This window comes from Homo sapiens, chromosome X (genome assembly GCF_000001405.40).
Source record: "Homo sapiens chromosome X, GRCh38.p14 Primary Assembly".
NCBI lineage: Eukaryota > Metazoa > Chordata > Mammalia > Primates > Hominidae > Homo > Homo sapiens.
Genome location: NC_000023.11, coordinates 103,203,679 through 103,222,883, shown reverse-complemented (window position 1 = coordinate 103,222,883; position 19,205 = coordinate 103,203,679). Strand labels below are relative to the sequence as shown.

The 19,205-nt window shown below is 43.1% G+C and overlaps 1 protein-coding gene and 1 pseudogene across 2 annotated transcripts, besides 1 other annotated feature; one reads left to right on the top strand and one right to left on the bottom strand.

Moving 5' to 3' along the window:
* On the bottom strand, positions 5,638-7,792 carry BEX4 (brain expressed X-linked 4). 2 transcript variants are annotated; one of them, NM_001080425.4, is made up of 3 exons: positions 7,646-7,776; positions 7,120-7,202; positions 5,638-6,735 (listed from the first exon to the last, which is right to left on the bottom strand). In NM_001080425.4, exon 3 carries the CDS (start codon positions 6,728-6,730, stop codon positions 6,368-6,370), a length of 363 nt encoding a protein of 120 aa, NP_001073894.1. In that variant the 5' UTR covers positions 6,731-6,735; positions 7,120-7,202; positions 7,646-7,776; the 3' UTR covers positions 5,638-6,367. The 2 variants fall into 2 exon arrangements, with proteins under 2 accessions (NP_001073894.1, NP_001121160.1); NM_001127688.2 differs by lacking the exon at positions 7,120-7,202 and having other exon boundaries at positions 5,684-6,735; positions 7,646-7,792.
* Positions 11,522-11,805: a transcriptional cis regulatory region, noted in NCBI's record as "candidate enhancer chrX.1663 targeted for multiplex CRISPR interference". NCBI's record gives its function as "positively regulates BEX4 gene expression in K562 cells {active_cell/tissue: K562}" and the evidence as "EXISTENCE:mutant phenotype evidence [ECO:0000015][PMID:30612741]".
* Positions 15,985-16,875, top strand: RPSAP59 (ribosomal protein SA pseudogene 59; annotated as a pseudogene).

Sequence of the window (19,205 nt, the reverse complement as noted above, 5' to 3'; positions counted from 1 at the left end):
TTAGCCTGTTTACATTTAAGGTTAGTATTGATATGGGTGGATTTTATCCTATCATCATGATGGTAGCTGATTATTATGCAGACCTGTTTGTGTGGTAGCTTTATAGTGTCATTGGTCTCTGTACTTAAGTGTGTTTTTTTAGTGGCTAATAATGGTCTTTTATCTTCATATTTAGTGTTTCTTTCAGGAGCTCTTGTAAGGCAGTTCTGGTGGTAACAAATTCCCTCAGAATTTGCTTGTTTGAACAATATCTTATTTCTCCATCACTTATGAAGCTTAATTTTTCTGGATATGAAATTCTTCATTGGAATGTCTTTTCTTTAAGAATGTTGAATATAAGCCCCCAATCTTCTGGCTTGTAGGGTTTCAGCTGAGAGGTCTGCTGTTAGTCTGATGGACTTCCCTCTGGAGGTTACCTGTCTTTTCTCTCTAGCTGCCTTTATCATTTTTTCCTTCATTTCAACCTTGGAGAATCTGATGATTCTGTGTTTTGGAGGTGATCTTGTAAAGTATTTTATGGAGGTTCTCTGGATTTTCTGAATTTGAATATTAGCCTCTCTAGCCAGGTTGGGGAAGTTCTCATGGATGATATCCTGAAACATGTTTTCCAAGTTGCTTCCATTCTCCCCATCTCTTTCAGAGATGTCACTTGAGTCATAGATTTAGTCTTTTTACATAATCCCATATTTCATGGAGATTTTGTTCATTCCTTTTCATTCTGTTTTCTTTATTCTGATCTGATTGTCTTATTTCAGAAACTCAGTCATCAAGCTCTGAGATTCTTTCCTCAGCTTGGTCTATTCTGTTGTTAATGCTTGCAATTGCTTTATGAAATTCTTGTAGTGTGCTCTTCAGCTCTATCGAGTTGGTTACATTTTTTTTCTATACTGGCTATTTTGTTTGTCGGCCCCTATATCTTTTAATTGTGACTCTTAGCTTCCTTTGATTGGGTTTCAACATTCTCCTGGATCTCAATCATCTTCGCTCCTATCCATATTCTTAATTCTATTTCTGTCATTTCAGCCATCACATTCTGGTTAAGGATCCTTGCTTGAGAACTGCTGCTGTCATTTAGAGGAAAGAAGACACTTAGCTTTTTGAGTTGTCAGAGTTCTTGCACTGGTTCTTTCTCATCTTTGTGTGTTGATGTTTCTTCAATCTTTGAAGTTGCTGTCCTTTGGATGTTTTTTTTTTCTTTTATCCTATTTGATGACCTTGCGGGTTTCATTGTGGTATAGTTCAGTTGACTGGTTTCATTTCTGGAAGATTTTAGGGGGGCAAAGTTCAGCTCAGGACTCCTGGACTATGTGCTGTAACACTGGGAGACTGGCATCAGCCCCCACTTTGTTGTCTGGCTCCTTGAGGTTAGGAACCTGCTGTGCTACAACGGCTGAGGTGTTCCCAGACTGCTGGTTATCACACTACGATGGGTGGTGCCAGCCAAAGCACTTCCTAGGGCGGTAGCAGTGGGATCCATCCTTGTTCGTATGTGGCAGTAGCATCTGCAGCTACAGCATAGTAGGGTGCACACTCATCTGCTGCGACAGGGTACTGATGGGTGTTGTGTTGCTGGCCTCTGTGCGGGCCTTCGCAGCAGCGGCTAGCATTGACAGCGCGGCTGTGGGGGCCGGGCGGTGACAGGGCCCAGACGGCGACTGTGTGCCTGTTCACACTGGTGGTGGTGTTTGCGCCCTTTGTGAGCGGTCCAGCTGGCAGCAGTGGCCTCTTAGGGCAGGGGCGGGTCCACTTTTCTCTGTGCTTAGTTTCGCACCTGGAGGCCATTTCCACGCACACGGGTGGGGCACTCTGCCTGCCAACTCTCCAACAACAATGGTGGTTGGGGAAGGGGGCGGGGTGCACTCACGCCAGCAAAAATGGCATGGCCGGGTGCACAGGCACACCCGCGCTGGCGGGAGAGGGAAGGCAAGGTCGGCCTGCCAGCACACACGCACTGGCAAAGTGATATTGGGGGTGGCCAAGGGTGAGTATATGTGGGAAAAGCGGCCTGGTGAGGCTACAGTTGGGGGAGAGTGCGGGCGAGCTGGTGCGTGTCAGCGGGGGCCGTTCTGCTGGGGCATTCTGCTGGTTAGGTGAGATCCGCCCCCACCGGAGCTATGATGTGGCATGGGGGCTGCATTGCAAGCAGGCGCGGCTACGCTGGGCCCCCGCCAGAGGCCAGCGGATTGAGAGGTGCTCAGGTCAGACCGGTTCCGTCTCCTGGGCAAGATTGCTTTGCAGAGTTCAGGTCCCACAGTTGCCCTAGGGCTAAAGTCTCCTATAGGAGCGAGTCAAGCCTAGGGGGATGGGCAACACTGACCATGCTCCCACTGCAGATGCTCTTGCACCAAACCCTCTGGCCTCCACTCTAGCTGGAGTTCTACCCCTACCACTTCTCTGAGCAGCTCTCCCTGCCAATTCAAGTGTCCATAGTGGTCAAGGTTCTCCTCCTGCCAGGATTCCAAAGGCCTGTGGGCAGTTGGTTGCTCTTTGCCTGTTCATCTCACCCCTTCCCCAGGAGTAGTTGGGGACTAGGAATGAGTCCTGGTGTACCTGTCCCGGGCAGTGTTCCCAGTTTCCTCCCCCTTTAGTGCAGCATCTGTGTCTCTCCTCTGTCTGCTCTCAATGTCTTCCCTCAGAAGATCTACTAGGAGTGTGCCAGTAGATGTCCTGTCCCTCCATGGGAGATGTTCCTCCTGGCTGCATCTAATTGGCCGTCTTACCCCCTCTCCTGGTATTTTATTCTTGTTATATTTGAATTGTTTATTTGTTTTTGCTTTTTTCATTAGAAGTTCAATCTTTTTCTTGCTGGCTGTCCTGGCCTATATGGGCTGCTATAACAAAATATCATAAACTGAGTGGCTTATAACAACAGAAATTTATTTCTCACAATTCTGGATGCTGTGAAGTTCAAGACTGGGTGTTGGTAGATTCCGTGTCTGATGAAGGCCTGCTTCCTGGTTCACAGAAAAGGTGAAGGAGCTCTTTGGGGTCTCTCTCTCTCTTTTTTTTTTTTTTTTTTTTGAGACGGAGTCTTGCTTGCTGTGTCACCAGGCTGGTGCAGTGGCATGATCTCGGCTCACTGCAACCTCTGCCTCCCGGGTTCAAGCGATTCCCCTGCCTCAGCCTCCCCAGTAGCTGGGACTACAGGTGCGCACCACCACGCTTGACTAATTTTTTATATTTTAGTAGAAATGGGGTTTCACCATGTTGGCCAGGATGGTCTCGATCTCCTGACCTCGTGATCTGCCTGCCTCAGCCTCCCAAAGTGTTGGAATTACAGGCGTGAGCCACCACGCCCAGTCTGGGGTCTCTTTTATAAGGGTACTGATCCTATTCATGAGGACTCTGCCTTCATGACCTAATTCCCCCCAAAAAGCGCCACCTTCTAATACCATCACCTTGGGAATTAGGTTTTCAACATTTTAATTTTAGGAGGGACACAAATATTCGGTCCATAACACTGGCCTTTTTAAAGACTTCTTCAGTGATATCTCCAATTTCTGTAATATGAAGACAGCAGCATATGCTGCTGTGTAAGATTAGACTGACTCTCCTCTTCTCAGAGGTCTTGTCAGTCTTTCTCCTCTTAAGTTCTGGAAGATTTGCCAGGCATTAGTTGACAGGCATCCTTCCCAAGCTTTGCTCCAAAATCCATAAAAACATGCACATTTTCCTCAAGAAACTAAAATTTTACAAATATGAATGTATAAACCACTGATAGGGATGAATGTGTTAGCCCTTTTTCTTCACTCTTGGTTTATTTGCTTTTGTTGGTTTTTATAAAAGAGTCATTATACTTTCTTGCTAGTCTCTTTAGAGGCATTCACTGACATCTCTCTGTTGTCACCTTAAAAAGACAAAATGTATTGCCCACCAAGATCAAGGAAAGTTGACCCTCCCATGGGATGTATAAATGTGTTCGCTGTGATAGCTCTGTTCTTCTTCAGTCACCTGATCCAGCCCCCTCTAGCTTTTTCTAGAAAGTTCTCTCTTTACTCCTCCACCCTTGCAGCAACACAGAGGTAAGGGAGTTTTCTTCAGTTCTTCAATCACGCTCCTGATCATGTTCTGGTCACTGAACGTTATGTCCTCTAAAGTTTTGTGCTCGTCGCCTACCATCACAGAAACTCCCACGATAGGAGTCTTAATTTAGTTCTCCTTCAACCAATTACATTGTGACCCCGTTCCCTGACCTTTACCATTTCCAGCAAATTCTGTTCTTATCATCCCACTCTCCCAGAAACACCAAGGAGACAGGGCTCATTTTGGTACTTCAAAAAACCATATTCTGAACCCAAGCATTGACACTTTTATTTCTTCCAGAAAGTCTGTCCTTATTCCTCATTCTCCCCCAAAAACCCCAGTGAGGAGGCTTCAGCTTTCTTTCAACTAATCATGTTCTGATCTCACACCCCCACAGCTAGCTTTTTTTGTGAGGGAGGTAGATTGAGGCTACTTTGGGAAATCCACAATTGGTCTTTGCCAGAAGGCATAGTACTCATTTTCAGAGGAACCAAAAGATCATTCATGGACTCTACTCAGTCAACTAGCCTTTTTGAAGTGCCTGAGTTCACCACTGTGCATTTTCAAATCAGACTCTATATCATCCTCTTCCTCTAGACAGGTGAAAGATCACTCCAGCTCCAAAATTATCTGAGGCAGAGTTTCCCTTAAATGTGGTTCTCAGTTGAACATGCAGGAATTCTGATGACTAAATAGTGTGAAGTTCATATAAAGTGATTTTTGCATAAGTTGTATATGCTTTTCCATTTACACTGATTGGCAATCAGTACATAATGCAAAAATTTCCAAATAATTCTTTGTGGAGGCAATGTGGTGAGAAGACAAGCACCCTGAAGCACCAAGGCTGTGGTCACAGCTTTCACTAATTGGCTGTATGACCTTAGGAAAAATCGCTTTCTTAACAATTCTTCACTTGTGAAACCAAGTTTGCACCAAATAAGTGATTTTCATTCTTTTTTCACTGTGATCTAGTTAGAAATACATCATAAAGGTGGCAATATTTACTACATAGAACACATTATTTTCTCCAAAACAATTCTTAACACTACTCACGGGTGATAGGATGACTTTTGTTCTCTTTTTAAAAAATTGCTTGTTGTAACCCACAAAACTGATTTCAAGAGCCATAGAGTGGCAATCCTAACTTTGAACAACACTAGAGGATCTTACTTTTTTTATCCCTCAATATTCTAAAAATTAAAGTGTACTTGAGATGTAGAAAAACAGTGTATAGAAAAACAGCCCCATTCTTGCTGAGTCTCTTTTACCATCCTCAGCTTGTCATCAAGTTACAAAAGTCAAATATTCTGCATCTCCAGATGATAAGGTCCAATAGAAAATGGCCCAGGCTGGATTCCCCCACCCCCAAGATATTCAGCAGGAGTTAGCCTTGGTACTTAACATCTCTAAGCCCCAGTGACCTCATCTGTAAAAGTGGGATAACAATACAGATTTTATAGGTTGTTCTAAGAATAAAATGAGATCCTGGATGTGAAACTGCTGACAGGGGTGATGAATTCTGAGTTCCTCAGGCTGTGACCTTCAGGCATGTTTTGCTTTGCACAGTGAATAACTTTGCCACTGTCCCTACCACTCCTATAATCATCAGTCTTATTTTAAGGTCTCATACTTTTCTTTTTTAATTACTTGCCCATCAAAGTCAGATTTATCTTGATATTGTTTATTGTTTACGGTTATGACACATTATATATATACACACACACACATATGTATATAGTTACGTACACACACACCAATGGCACTGATTTTGGTACACATCAGAATTACTTAAGAGAGTTTGTTAAAAATGGAGATTCTGGAGCCCCACTCTGTGAGTCTGGACGATAGGTCCTACATTTTTAAATGCCCCTGCCTGCCCCCAAGGTGTTTTTATACAGATGGTAGACTCACTCTGAAAAACACTAGAACATACATTCTTAAAATATCAAACATTGAATTCTGGGTATGATCATTCTTTTTTGGTCAGGGACAAGAAAAAAACTGTCAAAGACAACTGAGATTTTGAGTCCAGGTAGCCGGAGGAGGAAAAGTAATACTTACAAAAATAAGGACTGGAATGAAAAAGGAAGATGATGGAATACAGACTGCTTTTTGAACTGCTTTATGCATTTCATATTATGAAAAGAGTATTTTTCCTAAAATAGGTGAATTGCCATGCTGACCGTAACTTTTAGGCTGAGACAAAACAATATTCAATTAGAATTCTAATTTCCATTAGAAACTGGTAAGTGTAAACCCCAAAAGGCTTACAGAAAAAGTAAATCACAAAAATACAAGCTTGTAAAGCAGTGTTCACATTAACCTCAGCGAAAACTTTTAGGATTCAAGGTATGAGGCAAAAGTCATAATGGTTGTCAGGTTCAGGAGTTTGGAAGCGCATATAGTGCCTCATCTGCTGTTCCCTAGTCTTTCTCTTGATTTCCATCATCTGCCCTACAAACCTTTCTACATCATCTCTCGCTTCATTGTGCTCAATATGCCTATTAGGTATGGCCCATCGAAAATTAGGGACAAGTCGCCTAACTCGCCCCCGCCTGATATTTCCTCCAGGCTTCTGGCCTTCACCCCCTCCCAAATGGCGGGATTCTTCTTCATTCTGCGTGGGGGCCTGCTCCCCTCCTTCGTTTTCTTGTTGGGCATTTTCCCCGTTGAGATTGTTTGCCGCTAGTTCCTCTTTGGACTCCATTACTCCTAGGAGACAAGAGAGAGAAAATGGGCTGAATTCTTGGTGGACTGATAAGCACTGAGGACAGAGGCCCTACTAGGCACCTTTTAAAATTCAGAGCCCTGGACTTGACTTTATACTCTAACATTTCATTTTTTTCCACCTGAGAAGCCAGTATGCCCTGTGGGGTGCCCTCAATCCGAGCCCCTCCCTTCCGCAAAGCCCACCATTTTCCCTGTAGATCCATCTCCAGGCTTCCGCAGGCAGCAAAATGGAGGACGAGGATGGCGTGTGGGAAGGGGAGGGTTGCATGGGGTAGAGGGGGGCGAGGGTGAAGGCATGGATTAGGGTCTCAGACTGGGCTTTCCTCACGTTCCGGCCCCCGCCTCACCACCGACCCTCGCACCGACCTGGGCCTATCCTTGCAGTCTCCTCCTCCGGATTCTTGACGCGAGGTGCGCCGCCGCGACACTTAGCCCCGCAGACCTGCAGACTGCCGGGGTGGGGGAAGTGGGGGCTGCTGCAGCAGAACGCTAGCTAGGAACTACCGCCATCCGGCCCCTCCCCCGCCCCGCCCCGAGGCCCTGGCCCTGGCCCTGGCCCTGGCCCTCCTCGCCACCCTCGCCCCCCGCCTCAGCCGCCCCGCCCCGCAAGCTGACCACCATTTTCTGCACCAAGAAGTGCGGGGCAGGGGTGTCGGAAAAGCTTGCGCTGATGGCGTAGGCAGGTGTTTCCGAAGGGTCGTAGCCCCAGGACCGCCGGCTCCCTCCGGGCCGGGCACCTCTCCGCTCAAGGAAGGCTCGCGGGCCCGCCGCGGGGCCCGGGGGCTGCATCGCGGACCGATTGCTTCTCCGCACGGCTCCCCCGGGGTGGGCATCCGCAGGCCGGAGCCACTCCCTCACACCAACCCCAGGGACCCCCCGCCGGGTTCCTTACCTGCTCCCCCTCCGCTTCCTAATTTCGGGGCCGCCCCTGGCCCACACGTCCTCAGGGCCACCGGGAGCAGGTACCACCGCCGAGAATGGAACGAGCCACGACGGCTCTGACGCCAGAGCGAGACAACACTCAGTGTTGGCCGGTCACGTGGGGCTGTTGTCATCGCCAACGGCTCCGCCCCCGTCCCACGCCCCCTCCTGCAGCCCGGAGTCAGGCGGGGCTTTCGGGTCAGCCCCTATCCTCATCCGGAGTCTCTTTTAGTATCTCCAGACTGGCCGGCCCTTCCACTCTCCTGTCTTTGTGTATTCTTGGGACTTCCTCTGCCTCCCCAAGAGGGAAGCTGTCTTCTCAGGGAGCTGTTGGCCATTCCCACTTCTGTGGGGACTTGCCTCTCCCTGTCCTGGGCTCCCAGGATTTTCCCCACATCTCCCAACCAGGACGCGGGCGCAGAATTTAAAGGGGTGCAAAATTCCTCAGCAGTCAAGAAAAATAACATTTTAATGCAACATTTTAAAAAACAATTATTGCAAGAAAATTTATGATGAGCAAGATGTCAAAAATTTAAATAAAGAGAGCATCAGTCCCGCCCACCCCAATGGCAAACTGTGGTACTTGTTACCAATGCTCATCCTTTTCTCCACACCAGAACGTTTGGGGGGGGACAGGAAATGAGTCAAGGACAGTGGATTTTTTTTCTAATTCTTCTTAATACCTTTCTGTTCTGTTCCTTTTTTTGGGGGGTGGGGCAGAGTCTCGCTCTGTCGCCCAGGCTGGAGTGCAGTGGCGCGATCTCGGCTCACTGCAAGCTCCGCCTCCCGGGCTCACGCCATTCTCCTGCCTCAGCCTCCCGAGTAGCTGGGACTACAGGCGCCCGCCACCACGCCCGGCTAATTTTTTGTATTTTTAGTAGAGACGGGGTTTCACCGTGTTAGCCAGGATGGTCTGGATTTCCTGACCTCGTGATCCGCCCGCCTCGGCCTCCCAAAGTGCTGGGATTACAGGCGTGAGCGCCCGGCCCCTTTTTTGTTTAAGAAACAGTCTTTATAGTTTAACTTTATCTTAACTTTAATGGAAAATTTCGAACATTTGGAAAAATGGAATAGTATAATGCAAACCCCATGTACTAGTCCTCACTCAGATTCCACAGTTAACAACTCATGGCCAATCTTATTTCGTCTTTATCTTACCCGCTTCCCAACCTTAAAATTATTTCTGAAGCAAATTCTAGACATAATATCACTTTAGGCATAAATATTTCAAAGTATGTATCTACAAGATAAGGGTTTTCTTCTTTTTAGCATATAACCACAATACTGTTGTCACATTTAATAATTCACAATTCCTTAATATCATTTTATGTCTAATCTGTGTTCAAATACCCAATTGTATTATAGTTTTTTTTAACAGTTTGTTTGAATCAAGATACAAATAAGATATGCGCATTTTGATTGGTTGCCAAATTTCCTAAATTTCTTTTAATCTGTGGGTTTTCATTTTTTAATTTTTTCTTTAATTATTGATGAAATAGTCATTTGTTCTGTATTTTCCTACAGTCTGGATCTCAGTGGTGTCATTAACACATTATCTCTTTACTCTGTGGTTCCTATAAGATGGTAACTAATTCTAGAAAAGCATCCTGGAATTTGGGTTCAATTTCAATTCAAGTTTGTCCAAGGGAAAGCAAAGACTCTTTCTGTTTTCCTCTTTTTGGGATTTTAGCTGAAATATTTCTATAAAGAGACCCTTCCTATTTTAGGTCGGGCTCCCTAGAAGCAGAACTTGGAACAGAGATCCTTATGAATGTAGTTTCTTGTAATGCTCTCTCAGGTTAAAGGAAGTAAAGGCAGCAGGACAGGGCTGGGGAGCAGGGCAGTGATGAAGAATGGGGTTTAACTAGAGATTAAGTTTAGTTAATCGCACCTGAAAACTCTGAAGCACACACAAGTCATCCCACGTTGACAGTAAGTCACTGGCTTTTTGTAGCTCAGCGTCAGTCACAGATCAAAGTCTGTAGGTGGAGCAGAGCATAGTCTCTGGAGCAAGGTGGCTCCCATTTGGCAGAGAACAATTCCCTGGAGAAGAGGTAAAATGTGAGTTGTATGGCTCAGGCCTGTAATCCCAGCAATTTGGGGGGCTGAGGTAGGAGGATTGCTTGAGCCCAGGAGTTTGAGACCAGCCTGGGCAACATAGGGAGAACCCCATCTCCATACACACACACACACACACACACACACACACACGCATACACACACACAAATTTAGCTGGGTGTGGTGGCACGCAACTTTGGTCCCGCCTACTTGAGAAGCTAAGGAGGGAGAATTGCTTGAGCCCGGGAGGTCAAGGCTACAGTGAGCTATGACAGCACCACTGCACTCCAGCCTGGACAACAGAGTGAGACCTTGTCCCCTCACTCCTCCCGAAAAAAGATGTAAGTTGTTATCAGCCAACACACACAGCCAGGGAAGGTTTCATAGGTATATGACTTGTGCTGTGGCACAGGGCCCTGATGTCAGAAGAGTTCTACTCCTGGTTTAATGCTCTGCTGTCGTGTTGAAAGTTTTACTGATTTTATTTCTGAATACCGTCAGGCATAGATGTGTCTACAGGTTATCTAAACTGTATTCAGAAACAAGTCCAGTTGGCTTACAGGTGCCTCCAACTTTTGTGTCTCCTTCCTTCTCCCCTAGGTACTTCCATGTTTACTGCATACTGCTGTCCCTTCTACTGGCCTTTTCCCTTCTGCTGACCTAATATGCCAAAGCCCCATTGATTTATCTGGGCTTTTTGTTGAGCCAGAGACCCACTCTGTCCCTAACAAAGTGGATAAAGGTTAGGTGTGGTGGCTCACGCCTATAATCCCAGCACTTTGGGAGGCCGAGGCAGGTCTCTCTGAAAAAAAAAAAAAAAAAAGGTGTGCATAAAACCTCTTTCTTTATTTTATACTTACAGGTACTGTGAGATACACATATTCATCTGTGGTTTTTGGCTCATAATTCCCATAGCCTTTGTTATTTCCTAAGTGGCTAGAACAATCAGCATATCTTTGATTAAAGTATTTGGCCTTTTGTTTCGGAACAGCTTCAGAACCATAAACATAAAAGACTGTCTTTCTTGGCCGGGCGCAGTGGCTCACACCTGTAATCCCAGCACTTTGGGAGGCTGAGGCGGGTGGATCATGAGGTCAGGAGATCGAGACCATCCTGGCTAACACGGTGAAAACCCATCTCTACTAAAAGTACAAAAAATTAGCTGGGTGTAGTGGCAGGCGCCTGTAGTCCCAGCTACTTGGGAGGCTGAGGCAGGAGAATGACGTGAACCCGAAAGGCAGAGCTTGCAGTGAGGCGAGATCGCACCACTGCATTCTAGCCTGGGCGACACAGCAAAACTGTCTCAAAAAAAAAAAAAAGACTGTCTTTCCGTGTATGTTGGGGCTCTTTCAGGCTTCAGAAGCAGGCCTCAAAAGACAGAATTTCTCTCCCTGACCTTCTCTTGCTCTCCTTTCACCTACTCCTTTTTTCTCTCCAAGGCAGACCACATAAACTAAAAATATACTCTAGTTTTCCCCTGCCTTTCTGTCTTGGAGGTGGCCATAAGTAAATTCTCCGATTTACCTTGTCTGACTGTAGGTCATAATGATGCAGGAATGGGAAGCTCCCGTATTTGGGGCTTAGCCAGGGAGGCTTCTTGGCTTCACCCCGAAAAATAAATCAAGGGTGAGCTAGTGGTGTTGGGCAACAACCTGTTTTTGAACAGTACTGCTCTTTGTGGAGCAGGGCTAAATCAAAGGCAGTGCACCCAGAATCAGCAACATATGAGCTCTTGGCAACTATATTTATACTCACTTATTCCCACTTTCAATTACACACAAATTAGGGAGTGGGTTAATGCAAATTGAAGGGTAGGTTATTTAGAACTTTCTAGGAAAGGAGCAGTAACTTCTGGGCCATTGCCATGGCATTTTGTAAACTGTGGCACTGGGTGGGAGCGTCTTATACTAATGAGCAATGAGAGCAGCTAGAGATCGCTTTTGTCGCCATCTGCTGGTTTTTGCGTTTCTTCACTTTAATCTGTCAGGACCAGGGAAATAAATCCTGTGGGTCTCTACCTCAATAAGACCCCAATTCAGAAGGGGTCCTCCCCCATACCCAGGATGAAGAAATGCTGCACAGAGAGGCCAAGAAGAATCTGAATAGTCAGGCCTTGCTGGGTTTCCCTACTCAGTCTAATAGTGTTAGATTATACCCTTTTTGTTCAATCACATTTTTACATGGTTGTCCATGATAGCCCTGCCTATCTAATGACATCTTGATAAAAGGCCCAAGGGGATGGGACACAGAGAGCCTCTGGACAGGTAAACTCATGGAGGCCTGCAAGAAGGTAAACAAGAACTCATCAGCTTGCCGGGAGGGCAGTACACCCCAACTCCACAGGAACGAGAGCTCCGGTGCTCGGGACACTTTCAGACCTTGCCCTATGTATCTCTTCATCTGGTTGCTTACCTGTATCTTTTAAAATATTCTTCATAATAAGCCAGTACACACGTGTCCCTGAGTTTTGTGAGCCACTCTAGCAAATTAATGAAGCCTGAATAAGGGGTTTTGGGAATCTTAACCTGAAGCCGGTTGGTCAGAAGTTCCAGAGGCCGAGACTTGCCACTGGTGTCTGAAGCGGGGACAGTCTTATGGGACAGAGACTGCAACTTGTGGGATCTAATGCTATCTCCAGGTAGGTAACATCAGAATTGAATTGGGTTAGAGGATGCCCAGATGGTGTCCACTGCAGAGAAAAAACAGGGTTATTTTTGTTTTGTTTTGCTTTGTTTTGTTTTGTTTTTTAACACACTAGATGAGTACCGCCTTAATGTTGTTTGGGCCCTGATGTCAAACAGAAGTTTTAGGACAGTAGTCCTTTCTGCTGAGTGTGTGTGAGTGTGTGTATATCCGTGTCCGTCTCTACCGGATTTACCCAGTGGGAACTGAGCATGCCATGTTGACTCAGAATTGCCCAACTCTTGCTCCCCACAGGTGAGGAATATGATATGTCTTCTGGACTGGAGACTACTAAAATGCCTGCTAAAAACATATGCAAATTAAATAGAGAAAAATAATTTAGGCTGAAGCTGGTGTGTTCTTCCCCAACTCCTTCCAGGCTCACTCTTACCTGAAACAGTGAAAATATCGTACAAATTCTTGTTTTTCTTTATTTTTTCATAAGGTTCAAAGTATAAATTCTTAAGTACTGATTAGAGAGTTATCAGTCTTGAATTATGCTACAATGTAAATCATTTCTAGATACTATGCCTTAAAATTCCAGTAGAAATTATAAGATGTTACCTACAATTCAACATCTGATATCATTTTGGGGTTTTAGCACTTTTATTTAGATATAATTCCATATTAAAAATTCACCATTTTATAAAAAAATTAGCCTAGCATGGGGGTGCATGCCTGCTACTCGGTAGGCTGAGGGAGGAAAATCGCTTGAACCTGGGAAGCAGAGGTTGCAGTGAGCCGAGATCGCACCACTGCACTCCAGCCTGGGCAAAAGAGCGAGACTCCATCTCAAAAAAAAAAAAAAAAAAAAAAAAAAAAGGAAAGAAAAAAAGAAAAGAAAAAAGAAAAATCACCATTTTAAAGTGTGCAATTCAGGGCCGGGTGTGGTGGCTCATGCCTGTAATCCCAGCACTCTGGGAGGCTGAGGTGGGCGAATCACTTGAGGTCAGGATTCTAGACCAGCCTGATCAATATGGTGAAACCCTGTCTTTACCAAAAAATACAAAAATTAGCCAGGCATGGTGGTACACGCCTCTAGTCCCAGCTCCTGGGGAGGCTGAGGCAGGAGAATCGCTTGAACCTGGGAGGCAGAGGCTGCAGTGAGCCGAGATCACTCCTCTGCACTCCAGTCTGGGTGACAGAGTGAGACTCCATCTCAAAAATAAATAAATAAATAAATATGAAAAATAAAATAAAATACACGAAGCAAAAACTAATAGACCTGAAAATAGGAATAGATGAATCCACTGTTATAGTTGAAAATTTGAAAAGCCCTCTATCAGTAATAGACAGATCCAGCAGGGAAAAAATCAATAAGGACATGGTTGAACTCAGCAGCACCATCAATCAGCTGGATCTAATTGGCATTGTAGAATACTTCACCCAACAACAGTAGAATATGCATTCTACTCAAGCTCATATGGAATATTTATGAATATAGACCACATTCTGAGTTATAAAACATACTATAACAAGTTTAAAAGAATAGAAAACATACAGAGTATGCTGTCGGTCTTCAGCGGAATTAAACTAGAAATTAATACAGAAAGATAGCTGAAAAACCCCAATATACTTGGCAATTAAACAACATATTTCTAAGTAACACACAAGTCAAAGAAGTCTCAAAAGAAATTTTAAGATATTTGAATTAAATTAATATGAAAATACAACTTACTGAAATTTGCAGAATGCAGTAAAAGCAATGCCTAGAAGGAAATTTATAGCATTGAACATATATATTAGAATACAGAAAAGATCTAAAGTCAATAATCTATGCCTTCACCCTAGAAAAATAAGAGCAAATTAGATCTAAAAGAAAGTGAGCAAAAGAAAAGAAACAATAAAAATTACAGCAGAAATTAATGAAATTGGAAATAGAAAATTGATGGAGAATTTTCAGCAATGAAACCAAAATCAAATACAACATTGCATAAAAAGAATCACATGCTCTGACCAGACGAGATTTATTCAAGATGTGCAAGACTGGTTCAACATTCGAAAATCGATAAATGTAATTCATCACATCAACAAGCCAAAGAAGAAAAATCATATAATCCTATCAATAGATGCAGAAAAAGCATATGACAAAAATCTAACACCCACTAATAATAAAAACTCATAAAACTATTACCTTAGGGGAATTCCACAATTTGATAAAGAACATCTACCCAAAAACCTATAACATCACACTTAATGATGAGAGACTAGCTGCTTTTCCTCTAATATCAAGGCAAAGATCAAGGAACAAGGCAAAGATGCCCCCTCTCATTTCTCTTATTCAATGCCTTACTGTCCTAGCCAATGCAATAAGACAAAACAGGAAATACAGATAAACAAATTGGAAAGGAAGAAATAAAGCTGTCATTTTTCACAGATTGTGTGATTATCTATATAGTTAATTCCAAAGAATCAACAACAACAACAACAAACTCTTGGAGCCATTACATGATAATAACAATGTTCCAAGATACAATGTTAATATATAAAAGTCAATTGCTTTCTTATATACCAGCAATAAATGATTGAAATTTGAAACTGAAAACATAATATTATTCATATTAGCAGCAAAAAATCAAATACTTAGGTATAAATTTATCAAAATGTGTAAATTTAAAAAAATTTGAATAAATATGGCCAGGCATGATGGCTCATACCTGTAATCCCAGCACTTTGGGAGGCTGAGGTGGCAGGAGGATTGCTTGAGTCCAGGAGTTCCATGCCAGCCCGGGCAACATATCGAGACCTCATCTCTACAAAAAAAAAATTAGCCAGGTGTGCTGTTACATGCCTGCAGTCCTCAGCTATTCAGGAGGCTAAGGCAGGAGAATTGCTTGAACGCAAGAGGTTGAGGTGCAGTGAGCCATGATCACACCACTGCCTTCCAGCCTGGGTGACAGAGAAAGACCCCATCTCAAAAAAAAAAAAAAAAGAAACTAAGTTGGTATTACCTCAAACTTGATTATTATAAAGTTAATATGATCATTGTAATAGCCACGGTAATGACTGGGAGAAAAACTAAAAAAATACAGAAAAATAAATGAGAAAATCATCAAAATGATACACTAGAAGAAATAAATCACAAAAGAAATTAATAATAGTGGAACAAAAAAGTATAAGAAATATAAAACAAATTTGAAAATATAAAACAAATAGCAAAATGGCAGAACTAAGTCCTTTCTTATCAGTAATTACTCTAAATATAAATGGATGAAATTCTTCGATTAGAAGGTGGAGATTGGAAGAATGAATAAAAATACATAATCCAACTATGTGCTGTCCACAAGAAACTTGCTTTAGATTCCAAGGCATAAATTAGTTGAAAGTGAAATGATGGGAAAAAATATTCTTTGCAAATAGTAACCAAAAAGAGGTGGGAAGGCTATACTACTGTGAGGCAAAATAGACTCAAAAATTGTTATAACAGATGAAGACAGACATTATGTATTTATAAAAGGGTCAAAACATCAAGAATATGTAAACAGTTGTCTTTCTGCACTACCCAGAAAGGGATCTATACAGTGTTGTTCTGGATTCGTGTCATAACTTAAAGGGAAACTTTCACAACGTCTGGAGCCCTTGGTGTCCTGTAAATGAAGGAGGAGGTCCTCAAATTCCTTTCAGTAGGAACCTATGGTGGCAACAACCTTGACTCCAAATAGAGCAGTATGCCTACAAAAGGAAAAGTGATGGCATCGGCATCATACATCTAATCAGTATGCCATCACTTTTCCTTGAGAAGGACCTGGGAGAAGCTTCTGGTGGCAGTTCATGCCATTGTTGCCAGTGAAAACCCTGCTGATGTCAGTGTCATATCCTCTAGGAATACTGGCCAGCAGGCTATGCTGAAGTTTGCTGCTGCCAGTGTAGCCACTCCTATTTCTGGCCACTTCACTCCTGGAAACTTCACTAACCAGATCCAAGCAGCCTTCCAGGAACCATGTCTTCTGGTGGTTATCAATCCCAAGGCTGACCACCAGGCTCTGACGGAGGCATCTTACATAAATCTGCCCACAATTGCTCTGTGTAACAGATTCTTCTCTGTGCTATGTTTACATTGACATGCAATGCAACAACAAGAGCTCTCACTTGGTGGGTCTGATATGGTGGAGGCTGACTCAGGAAGTTCTGTGCATGCATGGCACCATCTTCTGTGAAATCCCAAGGAAGGTCATGCTGATCTCTATTTCTACAGAGATCCTGAAATGATTGAAAAGGAAGAGCACAAGCTGCTGCTGAAAAAGCTGTGATCAAGGAGAAATTAATGGACTGCTTCCGTTCTGAGTTCAGTGCCACTCAACCTGAGGTTGCAGACCAGTTTGAAGGCATACAGGTGCCCTCTGTGCCTATTCAGAAATTCCCCACTGAAGACTGGCCCACAGCCTGCCTCTGAAGACTGCTTTGCAACTCCCGCTGTTCAGGCCACTGAATGGGTAAGAACAACCACTACGTGGTCTTAAGCTGTTCTTTCACAGGCTCTTAAGCAAAATGAAAATAAAGTTGATGGAAAGTAAACATTAGTTTCTAAAAAGAATATGTAACAATTATAAAATATATGCTCCTAACAACAGATCCCAAAAATACGTGAAGCAAAAACTGACTGAATTGAAGGGAGAAATAGACAGTTCTACTCTCTAATAATAGTTGGAGATTTTAATTCCCCATAATCAATAATTAATAGAACCACTAGAGAGAAGGTCAGTAAGGAAATAGAGGATTTAAACAACACCATAAACCAACTATACCTATCAGATATCTACAGAACCCTCCATCCAACAACAAATACACATTCTCCTCAAGTTAAATGGAGCATTCTCTAGGATAGATCATATGTTAGACCAAAAGACAGGTCTCAATAATTTTTTTTTTTCTGAGATGATGTCCCGCTCTGTTGCCCAGGCTGGAGTGCAGTGGCATGATCTCGGCTCACTGCAACCTCCACCTCCCGGGTTCATGCCATTCTCCTGCCTCAGCCTCCCGAGTAGCTGGGACTACAGGTGCCCACCACCACGGGTGGCTAATTTTGTTTTTGTATTTTTAGTAGAGACAGGGTTTCACCGTGTTAGCCAGGATGGTCTTGACCTCCTGACCTCGTGATCTGCCTGCCTCAGCCTCCCAAACTGCTGGGATTACAGGTGTGAGCCACCACACCCAGCCTTCAATACATTTTTAAAATATTGAAATCATACAAAATATCTTCTCCAACCATGATGGAATGAAAGTAGAATTCAATAACAAAAAGAAAACTGGAAAATGCACAAATATATAGAAATTAAGCATCATACTTTAATCAATGGGTCAAAGAAGAAATTACAGGTGGAATTAGATAATATGTTGAGATGGATTAAAACAAAAGCACAACATACCAAAACATACAGGGTGCAGCAAAAACAGTGCTCAGTGTGAAATTTAAAGCTGAAAATGCCCACATTAAAAAAGAAGAATATAAAATCAATAACCTAACTTTATACCTCGCAAAACTAGGAAGAGAAGGCCAAGCTAAATGCAAAGCTAGGAAAAGGATGGAAATAATAAAGATTAGAACAAAAATAAATAAAACAGTGAATAGTGAAACAACAGAATTAATAAAATCAAAAGCATGTTCTGTGAAAGAACAACATAACTGACAATCTTTCAGCTAGATTGAGCAAGAAGAAAGTGAAAACTCCCAAATTACTAAAATCAGAAAAGAAAGTGGGGGTGTTACCACATACTTCCAGAAGGATTATAAGAGAGTGCTATGAAAATTGTATATCAACAAATTAGATAACTTAGATAAAATAGACAAATTTTTTGAAACACACAAACTACCAAAAAAAAAAAAAAAACTCAAGAAGAAATAGAAAATCAGAACAGATTTATAACAAGTAAAGAAATTTGGCCAGGTGCAGTGGCTCACGCCTGTAATCCCAGCACTTTGGGAGGCCAAAGCGGGTGGATTACGAGGTCAGGAGATCGAGACCATCCTGGCTAACACGGTGAAACCCCTTCTGTACTAAAAATATAAAAAATTAGCCTGGCATGGTGGCAAGCGCCTGTAGTCCCAGCTACTCGGGAGGCTGAGGCAGGAGAATGACATGAACCTGGGAAGCGGAGCTTGCAGTGAGCTGAGATCGTGCCACTGCACTCCAGCCTGGGTGCAACAGAGCGAGACTCTGTCTCAAAAAAAAAAAATTTTTTTTAAATCAGTAATCAACAGCTTTCCAAGAAAAAAAAGCCCTGAACCAACAGCTTCCCAATAAAAAAAAGCCCTGAACCAAATGTCTTCACTGGAGAATTATACCAAACATTTTTTTAAAAGCTGAAATCAGTGTTCAAACTCTTTAAAAAGTAAAGACAGAACACTTCTTAACTCATTCTATGAGGCCAACATTACCATGATACCAAAGACAGATAAAGCCATCACAAAGCAAACTATAGGCCAATATCCCTTATGAATATTGATGCAGAAATTCTTGACAAAAGACTAGCAAACCAAATCCAACATCATATTAAGAGAATTATATACCATGACCAAGTGGTATTTATCCCAAGGATAAAAGGGTCGTTCAATATAAGAAATATCATCAACTGGTGAATGGGTAAACCAAATGTGATATAACCATGAATGGAATATTATTCAGCCACAAAGAAAGAATGGAGTAATTCTACATGCTACAACAAGGATGAACCTTGAAAACATTAGGGTCAGTGAAAAATGTTGCCACAAAAGGCCACATATTGTATTATTTGATTGGTAGGAAAAGTCCAAACCCATCCACAGAGAAAGCAGATTAGTGTTTGCCAGAGG

Bases quoted from the DNA above. Each gene is read 5' to 3' on its own strand.
- BEX4 (NM_001127688.2), bottom strand. From the start codon at position 6,730: ATGGAGTCCAAAGAGGAACTAGCGGCAAACAATCTCAACGGGGAAAAT.